The 21088-nt window shown below is 43.1% G+C and overlaps 1 protein-coding gene across 33 annotated transcripts in view; it reads right to left on the bottom strand.

The window, feature by feature from the left end:
- The window catches only part of TENM2 (teneurin transmembrane protein 2), a 1285129-nt gene that overhangs the window by 167602 nt on the left and 1096439 nt on the right, over positions 1 to 21088 (bottom strand). For all 33 annotated transcript variants that reach the window (XM_047417418.1, NM_001395460.1, XM_017009661.2 and 30 more), the window contains one exon: positions 5787 to 5982. In XM_047417418.1, coding sequence (XP_047273374.1) covers positions 5787 to 5982 — 196 coding nt within the window. The remainder of the gene's footprint in view (positions 1 to 5786; positions 5983 to 21088) is intronic.

Raw genomic sequence — 21088 nt, 5'->3', positions numbered from 1 at the left:
CTTCCAGAACCACACTGTAGTTGGTTTCTGGCACTCTGAGGAAAACTCAATGAGTATATTTGCTTTTTCAAAATCAGACAAAAGACCATAGGCCCCATCAAGCCAGTTTCCTTAATGTGTAACAACAATTAACATTTCAGACTGAAACTCCTTGAGGTTGGCTGTGTAAATGTCGGCTGAGAAGCATCCAGGTGGCTACCTGTTTGTTTCATTTATTCATTTATTTTTTGAATTCATCACTCATTCAAAAAGCGTTAGGTGCTTTTGTAGATCAGCAAATCAGCAATTTCACACGGTGCTGGGAGATCATTCTCCCTGGGTCTGTCATGTTTCTGAATGTCTTGAGAGCACAGGCATTGACTGCCTTAGTTCTGAACTATCTTTTCAAGGCTGTCTGTATTGGGAACAGCCTTGGGAGACAGCGATAGTGTCTCTCTCCTGAGTAAAGGGCAGGTTTACTTATTACCCAGTATAGTAAAGACAATATCTCCCTCTGGAACAAAGAATAAGCAAGCTTACTTCCCATTCTAAGAGGCTCGGGTTCAGTAAGCTCAGGATTTTTCTCCTGCAGTGCAACCCATGACATATGCACTGGCATCACCCGACCTGAGGGAGGCCCTGAGGTGTTACTCTGAGGGAACTGGGGCTTGGGGAACAGAACATGTGCTGACACTCTGGATATTGCATTGCTCTGAGTAATAAAGTCCCTTGTCTCTGACCCATGAGTCTCATGTCTTCTGATGGCATCCATGAAACTGTGTCAGGCTAACATGCTAGCTTGCAATTAGGGTAAGATCTCAGATCTGTCACATTCTTACATATGATTCAGTCTACTAACTGAGCACTTATTATATGCAAAACACTATATAACAAGGCATTGGAGATACCATGGTGACAAAGACAGATATAGTCCCCTCATATGCAAAGCCCTCATAAAGCTTTGCACAATAATAGAGAATACAAGCTAAAAAAACAAACAAATTAAATAAGCAAAAATTACAATAAGTGCTTTGAACAGAATAAGATACTGAGATGGAGTAACGAAAGGAAGCTACTTAAAGAGAATGTTCAGGGAGGGCCTCTCTACTCTATGCAGGTGACTCTGAAGGATAAGCTGAAACCAGCAAGCAAAGAGCTGAGGGAAGGGTATTCCAGGTCAGAGGAATAGCTTATGCAAAGGCTCTGGGGTGGGAAAGAGAGGAACTGAATCCAATGTGGATGCAGGGTAGCAAACAAGGGAGGGTGTGACATTAGTTGAGTTTGGAGAGATCCAGGCAGAGAGATGGATCATCCAGGGACATGTAGACCAGCGGTCCCCAACCTTTTTGCCACCAGGGACTGGTTCCATGGAAGACAATTGTTCTACAGACTGGGGCTTGGGGATGGTTTCGGAATGATTCAAGCACACACATTTACTGTGCATTTTATTTCTATTATTATTACATTGTAACATATAATGAAATAACTATACAACTCACCATAATGTCAAATCAGTGGGCGCCCTGAGCTTGTTTTTCTGCAACTAGATGGTCCCATCTAGGGGTGATGGGAGACAGTGACAGATCATCAGGCGTTAGATTCTCACAAGGAGCATACAACCTAGATCCCTCGCATGCACAGTTCACAATAGGGTTTGCCCTCCTATGATAATCTAATGCTGCTGCTGATCTGACAGGGGGCGGAGCTCAGTCAGTAATGCAAGCAATGAAGAGCAACTGTAAATAAAGATAAAGCTTCACTTGCTCACCTACTGCTCATCTCTTGCTCTGCGGCCCAGTTCCTAATGGGCCACAGACCTCATTGTGATCTGCACATGGAGGGATCTGGGTTGCATGCTCCTTATGAGAATCTAATGCCTGATGATCTATTACTGTCCCCCATGACCCCCAGATGGGATCATCTAGTTGCAGGAAAACAAGCTGAGGGCTTCCACTGATTTGACATTATGGTGAATACTGATCTGCGGCCCTAGGGTTGAGGACCCCTGCTGTAGAACATGTGGATGACTTGGGTTCTATTCTGGAACTTCTGGGTACAAATGAAACATTTAAACAGAGGAACATCATTCTCCAGCTTGCATTTTTTGAAGTCATTCCTACAGCTAGGTAGAGATTGCTTCTCACTGAGCATCTGGGTCTGGGGATGGTTTGGTGGAAATTGACATTCTTGAGGTCAAGGCTCCCTGTTCTCAAAACTTACATCTTTGGCGATCAAGCAGCAAAGGTCCAGGAAGCTCTTTGCCACCACAGTCCCATGGAAAAGGCCCGAGATCTTTGCACAGTCTCTTTGCTTGGCTGGAGGGCTTCACTTGAGGTATTTACCATTGTGTCTCAGCTCCTGGGTGTTTTCCTCACTTTCCTCAATCTGGGCTTTGTACCACTTCCTCTTTGCTCCTGTAATTCTTATATACATCTATCTTCTCTCACCAAGCTCTCGATCTGAACTGTTCATCGAGGTATTCTCAATGCTTGGTATACAATAGGTCCTTGGTAAATAGTTGCTGAAGTGTGCTTATGTGTGTGTGTGCCTGTGTGTATGTGTATGTCTATGTGTATGTGTGTCTGTGTGTGTGCATGTGTGGGAGGGTAGGAGAATCCAAAATAAACAAAAATTATAATAAAGAGTATTTTTCATTTAACTTTCCCAACAACTCATATTTAAAGTATTTTCACAGTTTCTGAGGGAAAAACAATGACGTGGCAAAGCTAAAATATAAAGGAGCTCACATTTCAATCCCCTTTCTCCAGCACTCAGTTAAATATTATTTTTAAGATATTATCAGTTTTCCTTTTTGTTTACATTTTCTTGAGGAAGAAGTGGCCTCCAGATGTGAGATCAAGCCCAGGAAATGGGATTTTATCCAAGTGGAGGCTGGCATCGTGCTTCCAGAAAGCTGCTCTGTTGTCTCGAGAAGAAACTTGTTTCTGAAAGCAGGCTGCTTCTCTCCAAAACACATCAAAAGACTTCCCTGAGTCAAAGATATATTTAGTGTGATCGCTGGTAGGCACCTGTCTAACATTTTCCTTCTGTTTCACATCACGGGGGTTTACAGCACTCCTGGCTGCTCTTGATGGAGAATGTTCTGATGATAGGAATGTGTGGGAGAACCTCTGAACCAAATAAAACACTGTTCTTTTCCCTGCATTTCAGGCCAATTACTATCATTGCTCCATCAAGATGTCTGCCCAACTATTAGGCCAATTACCTTTGACTTGCTCTTTGAGCTACAGTCCAGACAAGAGAGATCCTCTTGGGAGAATTGCTATTCCCAGCTCCAACAGGCCAGGGTGAGTGATGGCCTGGGGGAAGGGAATTTCACTACCACAATGCCTGTGTCCATGTGGATAAAGGAAAAGGAGGACAGAAGTTGTTGGGAAATAATCCGAACCCCAGAAAAGGTGCTAAGTTTAGAGGGAAAAGGATTTAGTTGGCTAGAATCCAAAGAAATCCAGTGGTTAAAAGCACAGGCTCTGGAAAGTATGAATCCTGATTTCACCTTTTCCTGGCTGTGTGTGACCTTGGGCAAGTTTTTTAACTGCATTTAGTCTTGGCTTCCTCAGTTGGAAAATGCAGAGAATTGTGATAGTGCTACCTCATGTGGCTACTCCATGGGTTGAGGAAGCAACAGACACGAAGGCATAATACTGGGGCTAGCATACCGTTGATGCTCTATAAATGCATAGCTGTTCTTGTTGTTATGAACCACTTCTCTGAATTCTTGTAGACCCCAGCTGAGCCAGCTGCTGTGCAGGGTGTGTGCTGTCACGTACGTGTCAAGCCTCTTGAGTTCAAACACAGAGTGACACAAAGGAAGTCGTTTCTCATCATGTTCTTAAACTAAAGATTTTTAAAAATCTCAACATCTCAAGCTGGTTCCAAATTTGTTTCTAGTTTTTTCCTTTTGTGAGCTAGTCTCTACCCTATTACTTTTCTTCCCCGTTGGTACCTAACCTAATTCTGGGTATTTTCCCTCTGTGGAACGCTTCTCCACTGACTTTCATTATACAAAGTTTATGACATGACTTTAGAGTAGGGGTTGGCAAACTTTGTCTGTAAAGGGACAGAGAGTAAGGATTTAGGCTTTGTGGGCCATATGGTCTCTGCTGCAATGACTCAACTCTGCCATGACAGTGGGAAAGCTGCCATAGACAATATGTAAACAGATGTATGGGGCTGCTCCAATAAAACTTTATTCATAAAAACAGGCAGTGGGCCAGATTAGGCCCATGGGCTACAGTGGAGCCAACTCCTGCTTTGGACCATTTGGCCAGCTTTGATAGGGTCAGTCTTTGCTTAGCAGAAGGAATAAGGATTGACTTGAATCCCATGGTCAGTACCAAAACTCTATATGATTTTACACCTTTCTGAAGTTGTGGCCACTGATGAAGAATTGCCACCTGAATTTCAGGTTGGATTACATAGCTCTTTGAAGAGTCAGGGAGCCCCTCAGGAAAATCCATGGGACCAATAGAAAAGTTCTTAAAATGTAATCAATAGAAAAAGAGCGATACTAGACATATTCCTAAGGAAAAAAAATAATCGGATGTCACTTAGTGACCACCAACACATGCCACACACGTTTTATTTGTCATGATACTCACATCACCCTCTACTTCCTGGACGTGGTCATTACCTTTTCACAGCTGATGAAACTGAGGCTCAGAGAGATAAGTGAATTGCCCAGTTAAGATGTGGGGAAGAAAATCTTGGATTTAATGCTGGAGCTACCAGGTCTTTCTTCAAGAAGCCACCCTGTGGGGGCTTCCCCAGTGAATCTTGAGATCTACAGCTAAAAGTTTTTGGGACACATGGTGTTGTACAAGGGCAGTGGACAAGACCCAGAAGCCCATGCCATTTCCACTGTTTCCACAACCTGGGTCTTCGAGAGATTCAGCTTTCTGAATCTCAATTTATTCTTCTGTGAAATGGGTCTAATAATCTTCCCTGATTCACAGAGGTTCTACCCAGGATCAATTATTATTGTCAGGAGAAGATTAAAAATCCCAATAACATAACTTTAATGAAAATATCTGCAGCTTCTTTGCTTGTTAACATACTTAAGGTTTGTGGTAGAAAAACTTTATGAAATCTTCCTCAAGTGAATGACCCTTTTAGAGCTTTGTATTGCATGTATAAGGACATTTTGGTTGAAACTTCGCTTTTCTCTTGATAGCTAATAGAAAGCAGGGCTACCCTATGCCAAAATGATAAGTACTTAATTAAAACACTTTGAGATTTACCTACTCAAGAATAAAAACATGATTTTTAAATGTCTATATAATTTCTCTGATTTAAAGTTTTTTTAAAAATCACTTTTTATTAGTATTTTGAGGTTCCCTTAATTTTTAAGAAAAATTCTGAGCTGATGTGAATCGCCAGTAGTTTCTCTACTATATGCTTAGAGATTTATATATTTGTTTTATTTAATCCCCACAATGGCCCTATGAGGTGGGCATTCACGTTAGTTCCTATTTTACTATGAGGAAACTGAGGCTTATCAAAGTCAAGTGATTTGCTTAGGTAGTGTGGTCAGGACTCAACCCAGGCAGTCTGACCCAAACTCTTAACCTCAATTTCATCCTTGGTGAATTTTTCATGGTTTAAGCAGCATTTCCATTTAATCAGAGCTAGTTTCAGGTGGGTGACACTATAAGGCCTAAACAAAGGATCCTGGTTGGTTGTCATCTGTAGTAGAAACTACCTTAGAAGATGTGTCTTCTGCAGAGAAGCCCAGAACATTTCCATCTTCCCTTCATGGCGTACCATCTCAGAGACCCCACACCTACCTAGGACAACAGTATTGAAGGAAACCATCTCTTTGTCTTTTCCATCATTGTAGAAGGCCAGATGCCACAGGCCCACATCCAGGTACTGCACAAACACGGCTTCATTCTGAACCAAGGTCTGTATGCTCCGGCGTTCCCTGGGAGACTCAACCACACTCCACTTCTCCTTCCCGTCCAGACGTTCCATGAAGTCATACTGGGAAAAGGAGAGAGAGTACCATGCATGAGACAAGGTGTGGATGTGGTCCCATACCTGGTACCTTCCCCCCGAACCCATTTGTTAATGGAGAAAGACCTTTTTTGTAGCACATTTTGCTATGAACTTATCCAGGAAAACAAGAGCCGCAAAATGTGTAACAATAATAACAGTCATTATTTATTATGCTTTATAATTATTGCTACTATTAATACTTTTATTACTCTAGGCCACAATCTCTTGTCTGTTATCCTGAAATCCAAAGAGCTTTAACCCAAAGTTTTTTTCTTTTTGTTTGTATGTGTGCATCGTGTGTGTGTGTGTGTGTGTGTGTGTGTGTGTGTGTGTGTGTGTGGTGGGGGGAGTGGTATATGCTGTTGCTCCAGTCCCCCTCTGCATTATGTAATACAGAGGATATGCAAAGTATAACTTTTCCATAATCCTCCAAATTCTGAATTCCAAAATGTAATTGGTTTCCTGAGAGTTTCAGATAAGGAATTATGAACCCATGTTACCAGCTACCATTTTATTGATCATTTACTAGGAGAAATGGCACAGCAGAAGGGCTATGATGAGGGCTATGGAGCCTGAGAAAATCCTGAATGAGGTGCTTACTAGCTTCTCCTGTCTGTGCCTTGGTTTTCCCATTGGCAAACTGAAAATAAGAGTATCTATGTTATGGGGTTGTTGTGAGGATTCAGATAATATTTAGACAGTGCCTGGCACCCAGCAAACACAAAATACATGTTAGCCGTCATGATCGTTATTATCATTTTATTCAATTCTTGAAGAAACCCTGATTTGGTACCTATCTTGGTGTTATTTACATTCATATTTTACAGATAAGAAAGCTGAGGCTCAGAGAAGTCAAGCAACTTTTCTAAAGTCACACAGCTCCTAAGTGGCCAAGCAAAAATTTAGACATAGATTGGCTTGGTGTTTATGTTCATGCCCTTATAGTGCCTAGCCTTGGATAAACCAGCAATTAAAGTTTAACTTTGTTTCAGTGGAAACCAGGTTCAGAAATGGAAGTGATTAATGAGAGACAGAGTGGTCAACTAAGCCTACCAGGATAAGGGGATGGGGAGGTCAAACGGGACCCAAGAGAGGCCTGTTCTAAATAATAGATGAAATGCTGTAGCAGGCAAGTGGGAGCTATTGAAGACTCTTGAGCAGTGACTGATGTGATGAAAGGGATGTTTTAAGGAATTAGTTTGTAGGAAGGATATGAGATATTCTAAAGGGAGAAAAAATGAAAGTAGGAGGACCAATTAGGAAGTGATTGCAGAAACCCAGGGGTGAGGTGAAAAGGGTTTGATCAGGACAGTGAATGAGAAGCGGGGGACAACTTTGGAGGAACATTTCTAAGGAAGAGGTGACAGGGCTTGACCATGGGCTGGACAGAGATGATGAAGGAGAAGGCAAAGAGGACACCAGTGTTTCTTACTTGTTGACAAGAAAATCGATAAAACCCCAGTAGAACTGGACTAATCTTGTGAACTCTTGCAAAATCACTGCATAGAAAAGTCACTTGCATGCTGACTTCCAGAGAACATTCAAAGTGTAGGTTTTAGCCGATGAAAACCACCACTGTAGGATTAAGCAATCTCTCCACTTTCCCTTCCATAAAAAGGTTTTTATGGGTTACAGACATCAACTATAACCCCTTTTACGAACTTCACAGAATGAAACTCCAGGAATCTCCTAATGTGCCTTTCCCGTCGTCAGAATCGCTAGTTTTTCCACCTGAAATGTGATCACTGAAAACAAAAGACTCTATAATCTTAAACACAAAGGCTTTGCCATCAGACAAACCTGGGTTTGAATTCTGACTCTGTCACTTACTGTTCTTTGATGTTGGGCAAATCTACTTTTACCTTCTTCTTGGTTTTCATACCAGGGAATAATCACACCTAACATTCAGGGAGGTTATAAGGATGACATGAGATAATGCTTAGGGCAGGGCCAGGAAGATAACAACCATTTTATTAAGTACCTAGGGACTATGAGTCACCTACTTGCAAATCATAATGATTACGGACGAGCAGTGCGTGGTTCTAGTTTCACACGTGGGGCGCTGGTGACGGCCGCTGCTTAGAAGTTGAAATTTTCTCCATTTCTCAAGGAAATGAGTGTTTAGCTTCTCTCTACCCCATATCCCATTGGTCACAGCTGTCTTTGTGGGATAAAATAAATGATTTAAAGTGATATGACAAACTGATGCTGCTTTTGGAGACCTTTCTAATCAAAGCATTTGTTCCTTAGCAACCTCGAAAATGTCCAACTGCAAAGACCCATGTCTACAAATTGCTGTCAGCCAGAGGAATGGCTGTAACTTCCTTGGTGCCGAGGTGAGAAGGATCTACTTCATTTCGGGTCCAAGTAATCATCCCCATGAGGAAGAGTTTGGGGAAGGTGATTACTTGTGTGGGGCCATTGCTCATTACTAATTTGGGCATCAGTCATCTCTTGCCGAACCGCCTGACCAGCCAAGGGAAACAGAAATGGCTTAGGACTAGTGGCAGTGCTCACCGTCCAGCCCAGTAAATTACTCTAAGAAGAGGCATTTTTCAGGGGAAAGAGAAGACATCTATTTTGGCTGGCTCCTCAGAGTCCCCCTGCACAGAAGCACAGAGGGCAGTTTTCATTTAAGGAAGAATCGGCTAGCCAGGGGCTCTGGGAGAAGATCTTGACTCTGATATGATATGGTGTCTGATGTGTCTCAATCCTGTAGCCCTTTATTGTGCTTTATTATCTTCAAAGCACTTATTACCCCCTAAAATGATATAATTTATTTTTATGTGTGTTGTCTTTCTACTAAGAACATAAACTCCAGGAAGACAGGGGTTTCATCTGCAGGGTAGGGTGGTGAAGAGTAAGGACTTCAGAACTACTGCCCTTCTTCCTTCCCAGGTCAGGCCAAATGGTCCTCAAGATCATTTCTTTCTTTCTTTTTTTTTTTTTTGAGATGGAGTCTCGCTCTGTCACCCAGGCTGGAATGCAATGGCTTGATCTTGGCTCACTGAAACCTCCACCTCTCGGGTTCAAGCAATTCTCCAGCCTCAGCCTCCCGAGTAGCTGGGATTACAGGCACCTGCTACCACACCCGGGTAATTTTTTGTATCTTTAGCAGAGATGGGATTTCACTATGTTGGCCAGACTGGTCTCGAACTCCTGACCTCGTGATCCGCCCGCCTTGGCCTCCTGAAGTGCTGGAACTATAGGCGTGAGCCACCGTGCCCGGTCAAGATAATTTCTTATAGGACAACAGGACAGGATCACCCAGGAAAAGATGGTAGCATCTTCTGTTGGTCAAATTCCACTCTATTATGTGTAGGGTGTTTGTTTATCACAATTACCCAGGAGTGTCCCAGTTTATACCTCTTGTTCCTCCTTTCTATCTCAAAGTGCTCTAGAGTGCACATAGGGTCACTATGCATAGATTAACACGTGTCAAGCAGCATCACACAGCATCATTCACTGCTGCTATAACTTGGGCAAGGGCTAGAGGCTAGAAATGCAGGGAGGATAAACTGAGCCAGCCATGGAGACTGCCTTCCAGGATAGGGAGACTGGGGGCCAGTGAGAAGCTGGCTTGCAAGGAGGCCATCTGGTGTAGGGGAGCCTCTGCTCTCTAGGGTTCCTAAGCTGTAGCCTGGCCAGCTTGCTTGGCAGACTGGCTGACACTAGAAGGAGAGCATTTTCCAAAAGCTCAGGCCCTGGCCAGAGTTTCCTTTTCATCCCTCAACACTGGGAATTGATAACTCAGGCTTAGTATTGGGGACATCTGGCTCCTCTGTTCTAGGACCTCACTGTGATCAATTCGGGACATGGGGATGCTTTGGGAGACCAAACTGTGCCTCGTTGACTAAAGAGGTTACTCTGTAGTGGTCCTACCCATTAGGTCTGCAGAAGCTCTGGAAGGGGTTTAGGAGGCACATGACCAAATCCCAATAGAAGGATGTGTCTGTGCACCGGCTGGCTGCGGGAGGAAGTTTGCCTCCCAAAGCCGCTTGTGTCTCTTGCAGCCACCCAGAGGATGATAGCACAATAACCCAAAGTAAACACCACCTCTCCCCGCCCAGTTCTCTCCTTTTCCCTGGCCTCTGAAAAATAACCCACGTTGGCATGCAATGTGAAGGCTGTGCCTTTGAGTCATCAGTCATACCCCAAAGTGGCATGAAAATGCAACTTTTACGAGAGCTCGAGAGGCAAAGAAATAAACCATAGCAAATATTTGACTGATCCAATTATAAATCTCCCCACTTCTTGGCAGAGACTGAGGAGGAATGGTAATTAAGATAACTTAGTGGGTTTCCAGAGGAGCGGGAGGAGAGCAGCAGAGCCTAGACCGTGGAGCGGGGGCTGTTACTTTCCCAGAAGGGAAGGTGGCCACAGGCAGGGACCGGGCAGCCCAGAGATGCTTCTAGAAACCACATTGATACACACCTGCCAGAGAGGGCAAGGTTAAAGACAGACTCATTGCCCTTCGGGAAGATGTTATTACTGGGTCCAGGACCCCCCAAAAAGGGGGGATGACTTCATGCTATTTGGAACATTTTCTTGCTGAGGGTCAACACGAATGGGAAAAGCAATAAATGCTGACATTTCCCGGGGAAGCCTGCCACTCCCCTCACTCTGCACTGGCAGCATTGCTGGCCTCCTGACGATGTCTGATGTTGATTCTACCTCAGATGGCAGGGCACGCTCAGCAGTTGGTGGGATTGCAGGGAAGTGGCACATGTGAGCTAGGGCTGCTTGAAGCCACATGACCACAGGGTCTCTGGTCACATCCAGAGATGGTGGGAATGACTTAGCTGCAGTGGGTCGCTCACTCCTGGGGGCCTGTTCATTTCTTTCTGCCTCCAGCCAGGCCTGTGGCAAAGTGCGCCCAGCTGATTCCTCATTAAAGCTCAGCACAATTTCTTTGCTCTCCTTCAAAGGGGCTGAGTGCTCAGGGAAGGGGGAGGAATGACAGCTCCAGTGGGGGCTGGCTTCCCTGAGTGTGGCCTTGCCTGTCTTTTTCAGGACTCCCTGCTCAGTTCCTACTTACAGTATCTGAGTCACTTAACTAAATGCAATCGGCCCAGCTGCAGGCACCACTGCTCGGGCCACTATAAGAACCAGCCCCTGAGCTTCCGGACAGGAAACAGCATCTGCATTTCCAGACTGTAGCAGCTCATCATGCCAGGCTCCACAGGCAAGAATCAAGCAGATGGAAGCTACAGAGGAAACAAACAGGGTTCCCTGAAATCAGCAGCTGGGGAGAATTTATCTTACAAGGGTGGAATTCTTGATTCTTTCATTACATGTCCTCTTGCAGCAGCAGCAAAAGTAATAAAAAATAAGAGCCTATTTTTGCCTGGGCACTTGCTACATGCCAGGCATAATAGCAAATGCTGATGTGTGTTATCACATTTCATCCTCCCCAAAACCCTAGTCTCATCTCAGAAGAGAACAGTGGTTTCTAGAGAAGTTAAGGAATGGATCCAGTGCCATTGAGCTTGGTTGGTGGCCAAGCAAGGATTTGAAGTTGGATTTGCATGAGTTTTAACAATTTTGGGGGACACATCCATCTTTTCCAAGAACCTAGTTGTAGCTGCCAGCATATCTGGTGGCTGGCCTGGTTTGTTAAGGCCCCTCACAATGCCACTGAGCGGATAAGAAGGAGGAAGGAAGAACTTAGCAGTGCTAGGGTCAGACCTGGGCAGAGCAGGCTGGCCTGAGGACAGGGAGACATCACACTGGGGCAGAGAAAAAAGGGTGCCTGGAAAGGTCTGGATGGCTTTGCTGGGTGTTGGCTGTACTTGGTCTGTAAGTGGCTTTGGGAGCTGGCCCCTTCCCAATTCCCTAAACGCCACTCTACCTGTATGTTTTCCAGCCATACTGCTCTTCTCTCTGTTCCTGGAAGATGCCAAGCTCATCCCAGCCATAGGGCCTTTGCACCAGCCTTTCCCTCTGCCTGGCCTATTCTTTCTCCTGATCTCACAGCTGCTTGCTTCTTGTTAATCCTGCCTTTGCATAAATATCATGACCTAAGAGAGGGCTTCCCTGACTACCCAACTGAAATACCTCTATCAAAATGTAAATCAAAACCACAATGAGATACTATCTCACACAAGTCAAAATGTCTACCATTAAAAAGTCAAAAACAACATGCTGGCATGGCTGTGAAGAAAAGTGAACACTTACACACTGTTGATGGGAATGTGAATTAATTCAGCCACTGTGGAAAACAGTTTGGAAATTTCTCAAGTAACTTAAAACAGAACTACCATTCAACTCAGTAATCCTGTTACTGGATATATATCCAAAAGAAAACAAATCCTTCTACCAAAATGACACATGCACTCATATGTTCATTGCAGCACTATTCACAATAGTAAAGATGGGATCAACCTAGGTGCCTACCAAGAGTGGAAAAAGAAAATGTGGTACATATACACCACGGAATACTATGCAGTCATAAAGAATGAAATCATATTTTTTTCAGCAATATGGATGTAGCTGGAGGCCATCATTCTAAGGAAATAAATATAGGAACAGAAGACCAAACACTACATGTTCTCACTTATAAGTGGGAGCTAAGCATTGGGTATGCACGGAAATAAAGATGGAACAATAGACACTGGGGACTATTAGAGAGGGCGGAGAGGGAGGGGGCAAGGGTTAAAAAACTACTGGGATTTTTACTGTTGGTTAACCACTGGGTGCTAGGCTCACTACCTGAGAGATGGGGTCATTTGTAGACCAAACCTTAGCATCATGCAACATACCCAGGTAACAAACTTGCTCATGTACCTCTGAGTCTAAAAAAAAAGCTGAAATTATTTTTTTAAAAAACGTCTATTACTTCTTCTTGTTTCCAACCTCAGCAAAAACTCATGATTCTTTGAAAAAAAAACTTGCTACTGATTTACTAATTTAGAATTAATCTTCCCCCTTTTGGATATGAACTTTCTCCAACACTTAAGAGTGGGAGACTTGTCACTGGAGTTCCAAGATGGCCAAATAGGAAGAGCTCCAGTCTACAGCTCCCAGTGTGAGCATTGCAGAAGACGGGTGATTTCTGCATTTCCAACTGAGGTACCGGGTTCATCTCACTGGGGCTTGTCAGACAGTGGGTGCAGCCCACAGAGTGTACGCCAAAGCAGGGTGGGCATCACCTCATCTGGGAAGTGCAAGGGGTCAGGGAATTCCCTTTCCTAGCCAAGGGAAGCCATGACAGATGGTACCTGGAAAATCAGGACACTCCCACCCTAATACTGCGCTTTTCCAATGGTCTTAGCAAACGGCACACCAGGAGATTATATCCTGCACATGGCTCAGAGGGTCCCACACCAACGGATCCTCGGTTATTGCTGGCACAGCAGTCTGATATCCAACAGCAAGGTGGCAGCGAGGCTGGGGGAGGGGCATCCACCATTGCTGAGGCTTGAGCAGGTAAACAAAGTGGCCGGGAAGCTCGAACTGGGTGGAGCCCACTGCAGCTCAAGGAGGCCTTCCTGCCTCTGTAGACTCCACCTCGGGGGCAGGGCATAGCTGAACAAAAGGCAGTAGAAACTTCTGCAGACTTAAACATCCCTGTCTGACAGCTATGAAGAGAGTAGTGCTTCTCCCAGCATGGAGTTTGAGATCTGAGAACAGACAGACTGCCTCCTCAAGTGGGTCCCTGACCCCCTAGTAGACTAACTGGGAGACACCTCCCAGTAGGGGCCGACTGACACCTCATACAGCCAGATGCCCATCTGAGACGAAGCTTCCAGAGGAAGGATCAGGCAGCAACATTTGTTGTTCTTCAATATTTGCTGTTCTGCAGCCTCCGCTGGTGATACCCAGGCAAACAGGGTCTGGAGTGGATCTCCAGCAAACTCCAACAGACCTGCAGCTGAGGGTCCTGACTGTTAGAGGGAAAACTAACAAACAGAAAGAAGGAAAACTAACAAACAGAAAGGACATCCACACCAAAACCCCATCTGCATGTCACCATCATCAAAGACCAAAAACCACAAAGATGGGGAGAAACCAGAACAGAAAAGCTGAAAATTCTAAAAATCAGAGTGCCACTTCTTCTCCAAAGGAACGCAGCTCCTTGCCAGCAACGCAACAAAGCTGGACGGAGAATGGCTTTGACGGGTTGAGAGAAGAAGGCTTCAGATGATCGGTAATAACAAACTTCTCAGACCTAAAGGAGGATGTTCGAACCCATCGCAAAGAAGCTAAAAACCTTGAAAAAAGATTAGACGAATGGCTAACTAGAATAAACAGCATAGAGAAGACCTTAAATAACCTGATGGAGCTGAAACCATGGCACGAGAACTACGTGACGCATGCACAAGCTTCAGTAGCTGATTCGATCAAGTGGAAAAAAGAGTATCAGTGATTTAAGATCAAATGAATGAAATGAAGCGAGAAGAGAAGTTTAGAGAAAAAAGAGTAAAAAGAAACAAACAAAGCCTCCAAGAAATATGGGACTATGTGAAAAGACCAAATCTACGTCTGATTGGTGTGCCTGAAAGTGACAGGCAGAATGGAACCAAGTTGGAAAACACTCTGCAGGATATTATCCAGGAGAACTTTCCCAACCTAGCAAGGCAGGCCAACATTCAAATTCAGGAAATGAAGAGAATGCCACAAAGATACTCCTCCAGAAGAGCAACTCCAAGACACATAATTGTCAGATTCACCAAAGTTGAAATGAAAGAAAAAATATTAAGGGCAGCCAGAGAGAAAGGTCTGGTTACCCACAAAGAGAAGCCCATCAGACTAACAGTGGATCTCTCGGCAGAAACTCTACAAGCCAGAAGAGAGTGGGGGCCAATATTCAACATTCTTAAAGAAAAGAATTTTCAACCCAGAATTTCATATCCAGCCAAACTAAGCTTCATAAGTGAAGAAGAAATAAAATCCTTTACAGACAAGCAAATGCTGAGAGATTTTGTCACCACCAGGCCTGCCTTACAAGAGCTCCTGAAGGAAGCACTAAACATGGAAAGGAACAACCAGTACAAGCCACTGCAAAAACATGCCAAATTGTAAACACCATCGATGCTAGGAAGAAATCACATCAATTAATGAGCAAAATAACCACCTAACATCATAATGACAGGATCAAATTCACACATAACAATATTAAACTTAAATGTAAATGGGCTAAATGCTCCAATTAAAAGACACAGACTGGCTAATTGGATAGAGTCAAGACCCATCAGTGTGCTGTATTCAGGAGACCCATCCCACATGCAGAGACACACACAGGCTCAAAATAAAGGGAGGGAGGAAGATCTACCAAGAAAATGGAAAACAAAAAAATAGCAGGGGTTGCAATCCTAGTCTCTGATAAAACAGACTTTAAACCAACAAAGATCAAAAGAGACAAAGAAGGCCATTACATAATGGTAAAGGGATCAATTCAACAAGAAGAGCTAACTATCCTAAATATATATGCACCCAATACAGGAGCACCCAGATTCATAATGCAAGTGCTTAGGGACCTACAAAGAGACTTAGACTCCCACACAATAATAATGGGAGACTTTAACACCCCACTGTCAACATTAGACGGATCAACAAGACAGAAAGTTAACAAGGATATCCAGGAATTGAACTCAGCTCTGCACCAAGTAGACCTAATAGACATCTACAGAACTCTCCATCCCAAATCAACAAAATATACATTCTTCTCAGCATCACATCACACTTATTCCAAAATTGACCGCATAGTTGGAATTAAAGCACTCCTCAGCAAATGTAAAAGAACAGAAATGATAACAAACTATTTCTCAGACCACAGTGCAATCAAACTAGAATTCAGGATTAAGAAACTCACTCAGAATCGCTCAACTACATGGAAACTGAACAACCTGCTCCTGAATGACTACTGGGTACATAACGAAATGAAGGCAGAAATAAAGATGTTCTTTGAAACCAACGAGAACAAAGACACAACATACCAGAATCTCTGGGACACACTTAAAACCGTGTGTAGAGGGAAATTTATAGCACTAAATGCCCACAAGAGAAAGCAGGAAAAATCTAAAATTGACGCCCTAACATCACAATTAAAAGAACTAGAGAAGCAAGAGCAAACACATTCAAAAGCTAGCAGGAGGCAAGAAATAACTAAGATCAGAGCAGAACTGAAGGAGATAGACACACAAAAAATCCTTCAAAAAATCAGTGAATCCAGGAGCTGGTTTTTTGAAAAGATCAACAAAATTGATAGACCACTAGCAAGACTAATAAAGAAGAAAAGAGAGAAGAATCAAATAGATGCAATACAAAATGATAAAGGGGATATCACCATCGATCCCACAGAAATACAAACTACCATCAGAGAATACTATAAACACCTCTACGCAAATAAACTAGAAAATCTAGAAGAAATGGATAAATTCCTCGACACACACACCCTCCCAAGACTAAACCAGGAAGAAGTTGATTCCCTGAATAGAACAATAACAGGCTCTGAAATTGAGGCAATAATTAATAGCTTACCAACCAAAAAAAGTCTAGGACCAGATAGATTCACAGCCAAATTCTAACAGAGGTACAAAGAGGAGCTGGTGCCATTCCTTCTGAAACTATTCCAATTAATAGAAAAAGAGGGAATCCTCCCTAACTCATTTTATGGGGCCAGGATCATCCTGATACCAAAGCCTGGCAGAGACACAACAAAAAAAGAGAATTTTAGACCAACATCCCTGATGAACACTGATACAAAAATCCTCAATAAAATACTGGCAAACCGAATCCAGCAGCACATCAAAAAGCTTATCCACTATGATCAAGTGGGCTTCATCCCTGGGATGCAAGGCTGGTTCAACATATGCAAATCAATAAATGCAATCCATCACATAAACAGAACCAAAGACAAAAACCACATGATTATCTCAATAGATGCAGAAAAGGCCTTTGACAAAATTCAACAGCCCTTCATGCTAAAAACTCTCAATAAACTAGGTATTGATGGGATGTATCTCAAAATAATAAGAGCTATTTATGACAAACCCACAGCCAATATCATACTGAATGGGCAAAAACTGGAAGCATTCCTCTGAAAACTGGCACACGACAGGGATGCCCTCTCTCACCACTCCTATTCAACATAGTGTTGGAAGTTCTGGCCAGGGCAATCAGGCAGGAGAAGGAAATAAAGGGCATTCAATTAGGAAAAGAGGAAGTCAAATTGTCCCTGTTTGCAGATGACATGATTGTATATTTAGAAAACCCCATTGTCTCAGCCCAAAATCTCCTTAAGCTGATAAGCAACTTCAGCAAAGTCTCAGGATACAAAATCAATGTGCAAAAATCACAAGAATTCCTATACACCAATAACAGACAAACAGAGAGCCAAATCATGAGTGAACTCCCATTCACAATTGCTTCAAAGAGAATAAAATACCTAGGAATCCAACTTACAAGGGATGTGAAGGACCTCTTCAAGGAGAACTACAAACCACTGCTCAACAAAATAAAAGAGGACACAAACAAATGGAAGAACATTCCATGCTCATGGATAGGAAGAATCAATATTGTGAAAATGGCCATACTGCTGAAGGTAATTTATAGATTCAATGCCATTCCCATCAAGCTACCAATGACTTTCCTCATAGAATTGGAAAAAACTACTTTAAAGTTCATATGGAACCAAAAAAGAGCCCACATTGCCAAGACAATCCTAAACCAAAAGAACAAAACTGGAGGCATCATGCTACCTGACTTCAAACTATACTACAAGGCTACAGTAATCAAAACAGCATGGTACTGGTACCAAAACAGAGATATAGATCAATGGAACAGAATAGAGCCCTCAGAAATAATACCACACATCTACAACCATCTGATCTTTGACAAACCTGACAAAAACAAGAAATGGGGAAAGGATTCCCTATTTAATAAATGGTGCTGGGAAAACTGGCTAGCCATAAGTAGAAAGCTGAAACTGGATCCCTTCCTTACACCTTATAAAAAAATTAATTCAAAATGGATTAAAGACTTAAATATTAGACCTAAAACCATAAAAACCCTAGAAGAAAACCTAGGCAATACCATTCAGGCCATAGGCATGGGCAAGGGCTTCACGACTGAAACACCAAAAACAATGGCAACAAAAGCCAAAATTGACAAATGGGATCTAATTAAATTAAAGAGCTTCTGCACAGCAAAAGAAACTACCATCAGAGTGAACTGGCAACCTACAGAATGGGAGAAAATTTTTACAGTCTACCCATCTGAAAAAGGGCTAATATCCAGAATCTACAAGGAACTTAAACAAATGTACAAGAAAAAAATCAAACAACCCCATCAAAAAGTGGGCAAAGGATATGAACAGACACTTCTCAAAAGAAGACATTTATGCAGCCAACAGACACATGAAAAAATGCTCATCATCACTGGCCATCAGAGAAATGCAAATCAAAACCACAATGAGATACCATCTCATACCAGTTAGAATGGCGATCATTAAAAAATCAGGAAACAACGGGTGCTGGAGAGGCTGTGGAGAAATAGGAACATTTTTACGCTGTTTGTGGGAGCGTAAACTAGTTCAACCATTGTGGAAGACAGTGTGGCAATTCCTCAAGGATCTAGAACTAGAAATACCATTTGTGCCAGCCATCCTGTTACTGGGTATATACCCAAAGGATTATAAATCATGCTGCTATAAAGACACATGCACATGTATGACTACTGCAGCACTATTCACAATAGCAAAGACTTGCAACCAAGCCAAATGTCCATCAATGATAGACTGGTTTAAGAAAATATGGCACATATACACCATGGAATACTATGCAGCCATAAAAAATGATGAGTTCATGTCCTTTGTAGGGACATGGATGAAGCTGGAAACCATCATTCTGAGCAAACTATCGCAAGGACAGAAAACCAAACACCATATGTTCTCACTCATAGATGGGAATTGAACAATGAGAACACTTGGACACAGGGTGGGGAACATCACATACCGGGGCCTGTCATGGGGTGGGGGTAGCAGGGAGGGATAGCATTAGGAGAGATACCTAATGTAAATGACTAGTTAATGGGTGCAGCACACCAACATGGCACATGTATACTTATGTAACAAACCTGCACTTTGTGCACATGTACCCTAGAATTTAAAGTATAATTAAAAAAAAAAAGAGTGGGAGACTTGTCTGTTTCACTGAACTCAGCATCCCCCATGCCTAGAACAGTGCTTGGCCCATAGTGGGTACTCACTAAAGATCTTTATTGCATGAATGAAAAAGATTTAGGCCAAAAGGAAATAATATCTAGAGTGAGGGGTATACCTACAAGGTGACACAGCTACTTAAAGGACATAATCTCTTCAGGAAATGCCTTTTGGAAATTTTAGTGAACACTGTAGTTTTCTCTTATTTTTGCTTGCTAACTGCTCAGATGCTACTATGAGTTAACATTTAATGAGGCCAGGCACGCTCTAAGTGATTCATGCTCATAATAACCCTACTGAATACAAATTATTCCTGTTTTGCATATGAGGAAACTGAGACACAGAGAGGTTACATAGCTCACCCAACAGTTAGTAAGTGGTGGGGCTGAGATTCACACCCAAGCAGCCAGCTTCAAAGAGGACACTCTTAATCCAGTGTATTAGTCTTCTCAATAAGCCTAATGAACAGGCAGCCAGTAGGGGGTGCTGGCCCGCCTCTCTCATTTGCACGTGTGTGTGTATTCACAGGACCACAGGGTACAGTCAACCTCAGCCCAGTCTCTGATGGGCAGGGGAGCCCCAGCCAACATCTGGTTTCACTTAGAAGGCCTAAGGGTCCCTAAATTGGAGTTCATAGAAAAATCTGAAGCATGGCTCTCAAGCTTGTTATGTTGCAAGGGCAAATGAATGTAAAACTATTTGTTCCTTCAACAAATATTGAGCAACCACCATGTGCCTGGCACTGCTCTGTGTACTGGGGATACAGCAGTGAATGATACAGACAAGGTTCCTGTCCTCCTGGAGCTGACATTTTCAAGGGGGAATATAATGTCAGGGAGGGAGGAGAGCTGTGAGTAAAAAATAAAGCAAACCAGCCAGGTGTAGTGGCTCACGCCGGTAATCCCAGCACTTTGGGAAGCCGAGGTGGGTGGATTACGAGGTCAGGAGTTCGAGACCAGCCTGGCCAACATTGTGAAACCCCGTCTCTGCTAAAAATACCAAAATTAGTCGGGTGTGGTGGGGTGCACCTGTAGTCCCAGCTATGCAGGAGGCTGAGGCAGGAGAATTGCTTGAACCTGGGAGGCAGAGGTTGCAGTGAGCCGAGATCACACCACTGCATTCCAGCCTGGGTGACAGATTGAGACTCTGTCTCAAAAATAAAATAAAATAAAATAAAATAAAATAAAATAAAATAAAATAAAATAAAATAAAATAAAATAAAAATAAAGCAAACCAGACAACCCAAATGTCCATCAACAGGTGAATGGTCACACGCATTGTGGAATATACATACAATTGAAAATCTACTCACTAATAAAAGGAATAAGCCACAGAAACTGATATGGTTTGGCTGTGTCCTCACCCAAATCTCATCTTGAATTGTAGCTCCCATAATTCCCATGTGTCGTGGGAGGGAGACGGTGGGAGGTATTTGAATCATGGGGGTGGGTCTTTCCTGTGCTGTTCTCATGATAGTGAATAGGTCACCTGAGATCTGATGGTTTTATAAAGGGAAGTTCCCTTGCAAATGCTCTCTTGCCTGCCGCCACCATGTAGATGTGCCTTTACTTCTCCTTTGGCTTCTGCCATGATTGTGAGGCCTCCCCAGCCATGTGGAACTATGAGTCCATTAAACCTCCTTTCCTTTATAAATTACCCAGTCTCGAGTATGTCTTTATTAGCAGCATGAGAACAGACTAATACAGATACAAACAACACCATGGGTGAATCTCACTGACATTCTGCGAGTGAAAGAAGGCAGACACAAGAGCACGTGATTCCTTGCATATGAAACTCTAGTGGAGACAAATCTAATCTCCAGTGACAGAAAGCAGATCAGTGGTTGCTTGGGCCTGGAGGTGAGGTTGGTGTGGGGCACAGGGGATCTGTTGGGTGGTGGCATTGTCCTCTATTATGGCTGTGGTGGTG

The sequence above is a fragment of the Homo sapiens genome, chromosome 5, assembly GCF_000001405.40.
Source record: "Homo sapiens chromosome 5, GRCh38.p14 Primary Assembly".
NCBI classification, from domain to species: domain Eukaryota; kingdom Metazoa; phylum Chordata; class Mammalia; order Primates; family Hominidae; genus Homo; species Homo sapiens.
Note: the sequence above shows the minus strand (reverse complement) of the source record. Positions and strands in the feature narration are given on the sequence as shown.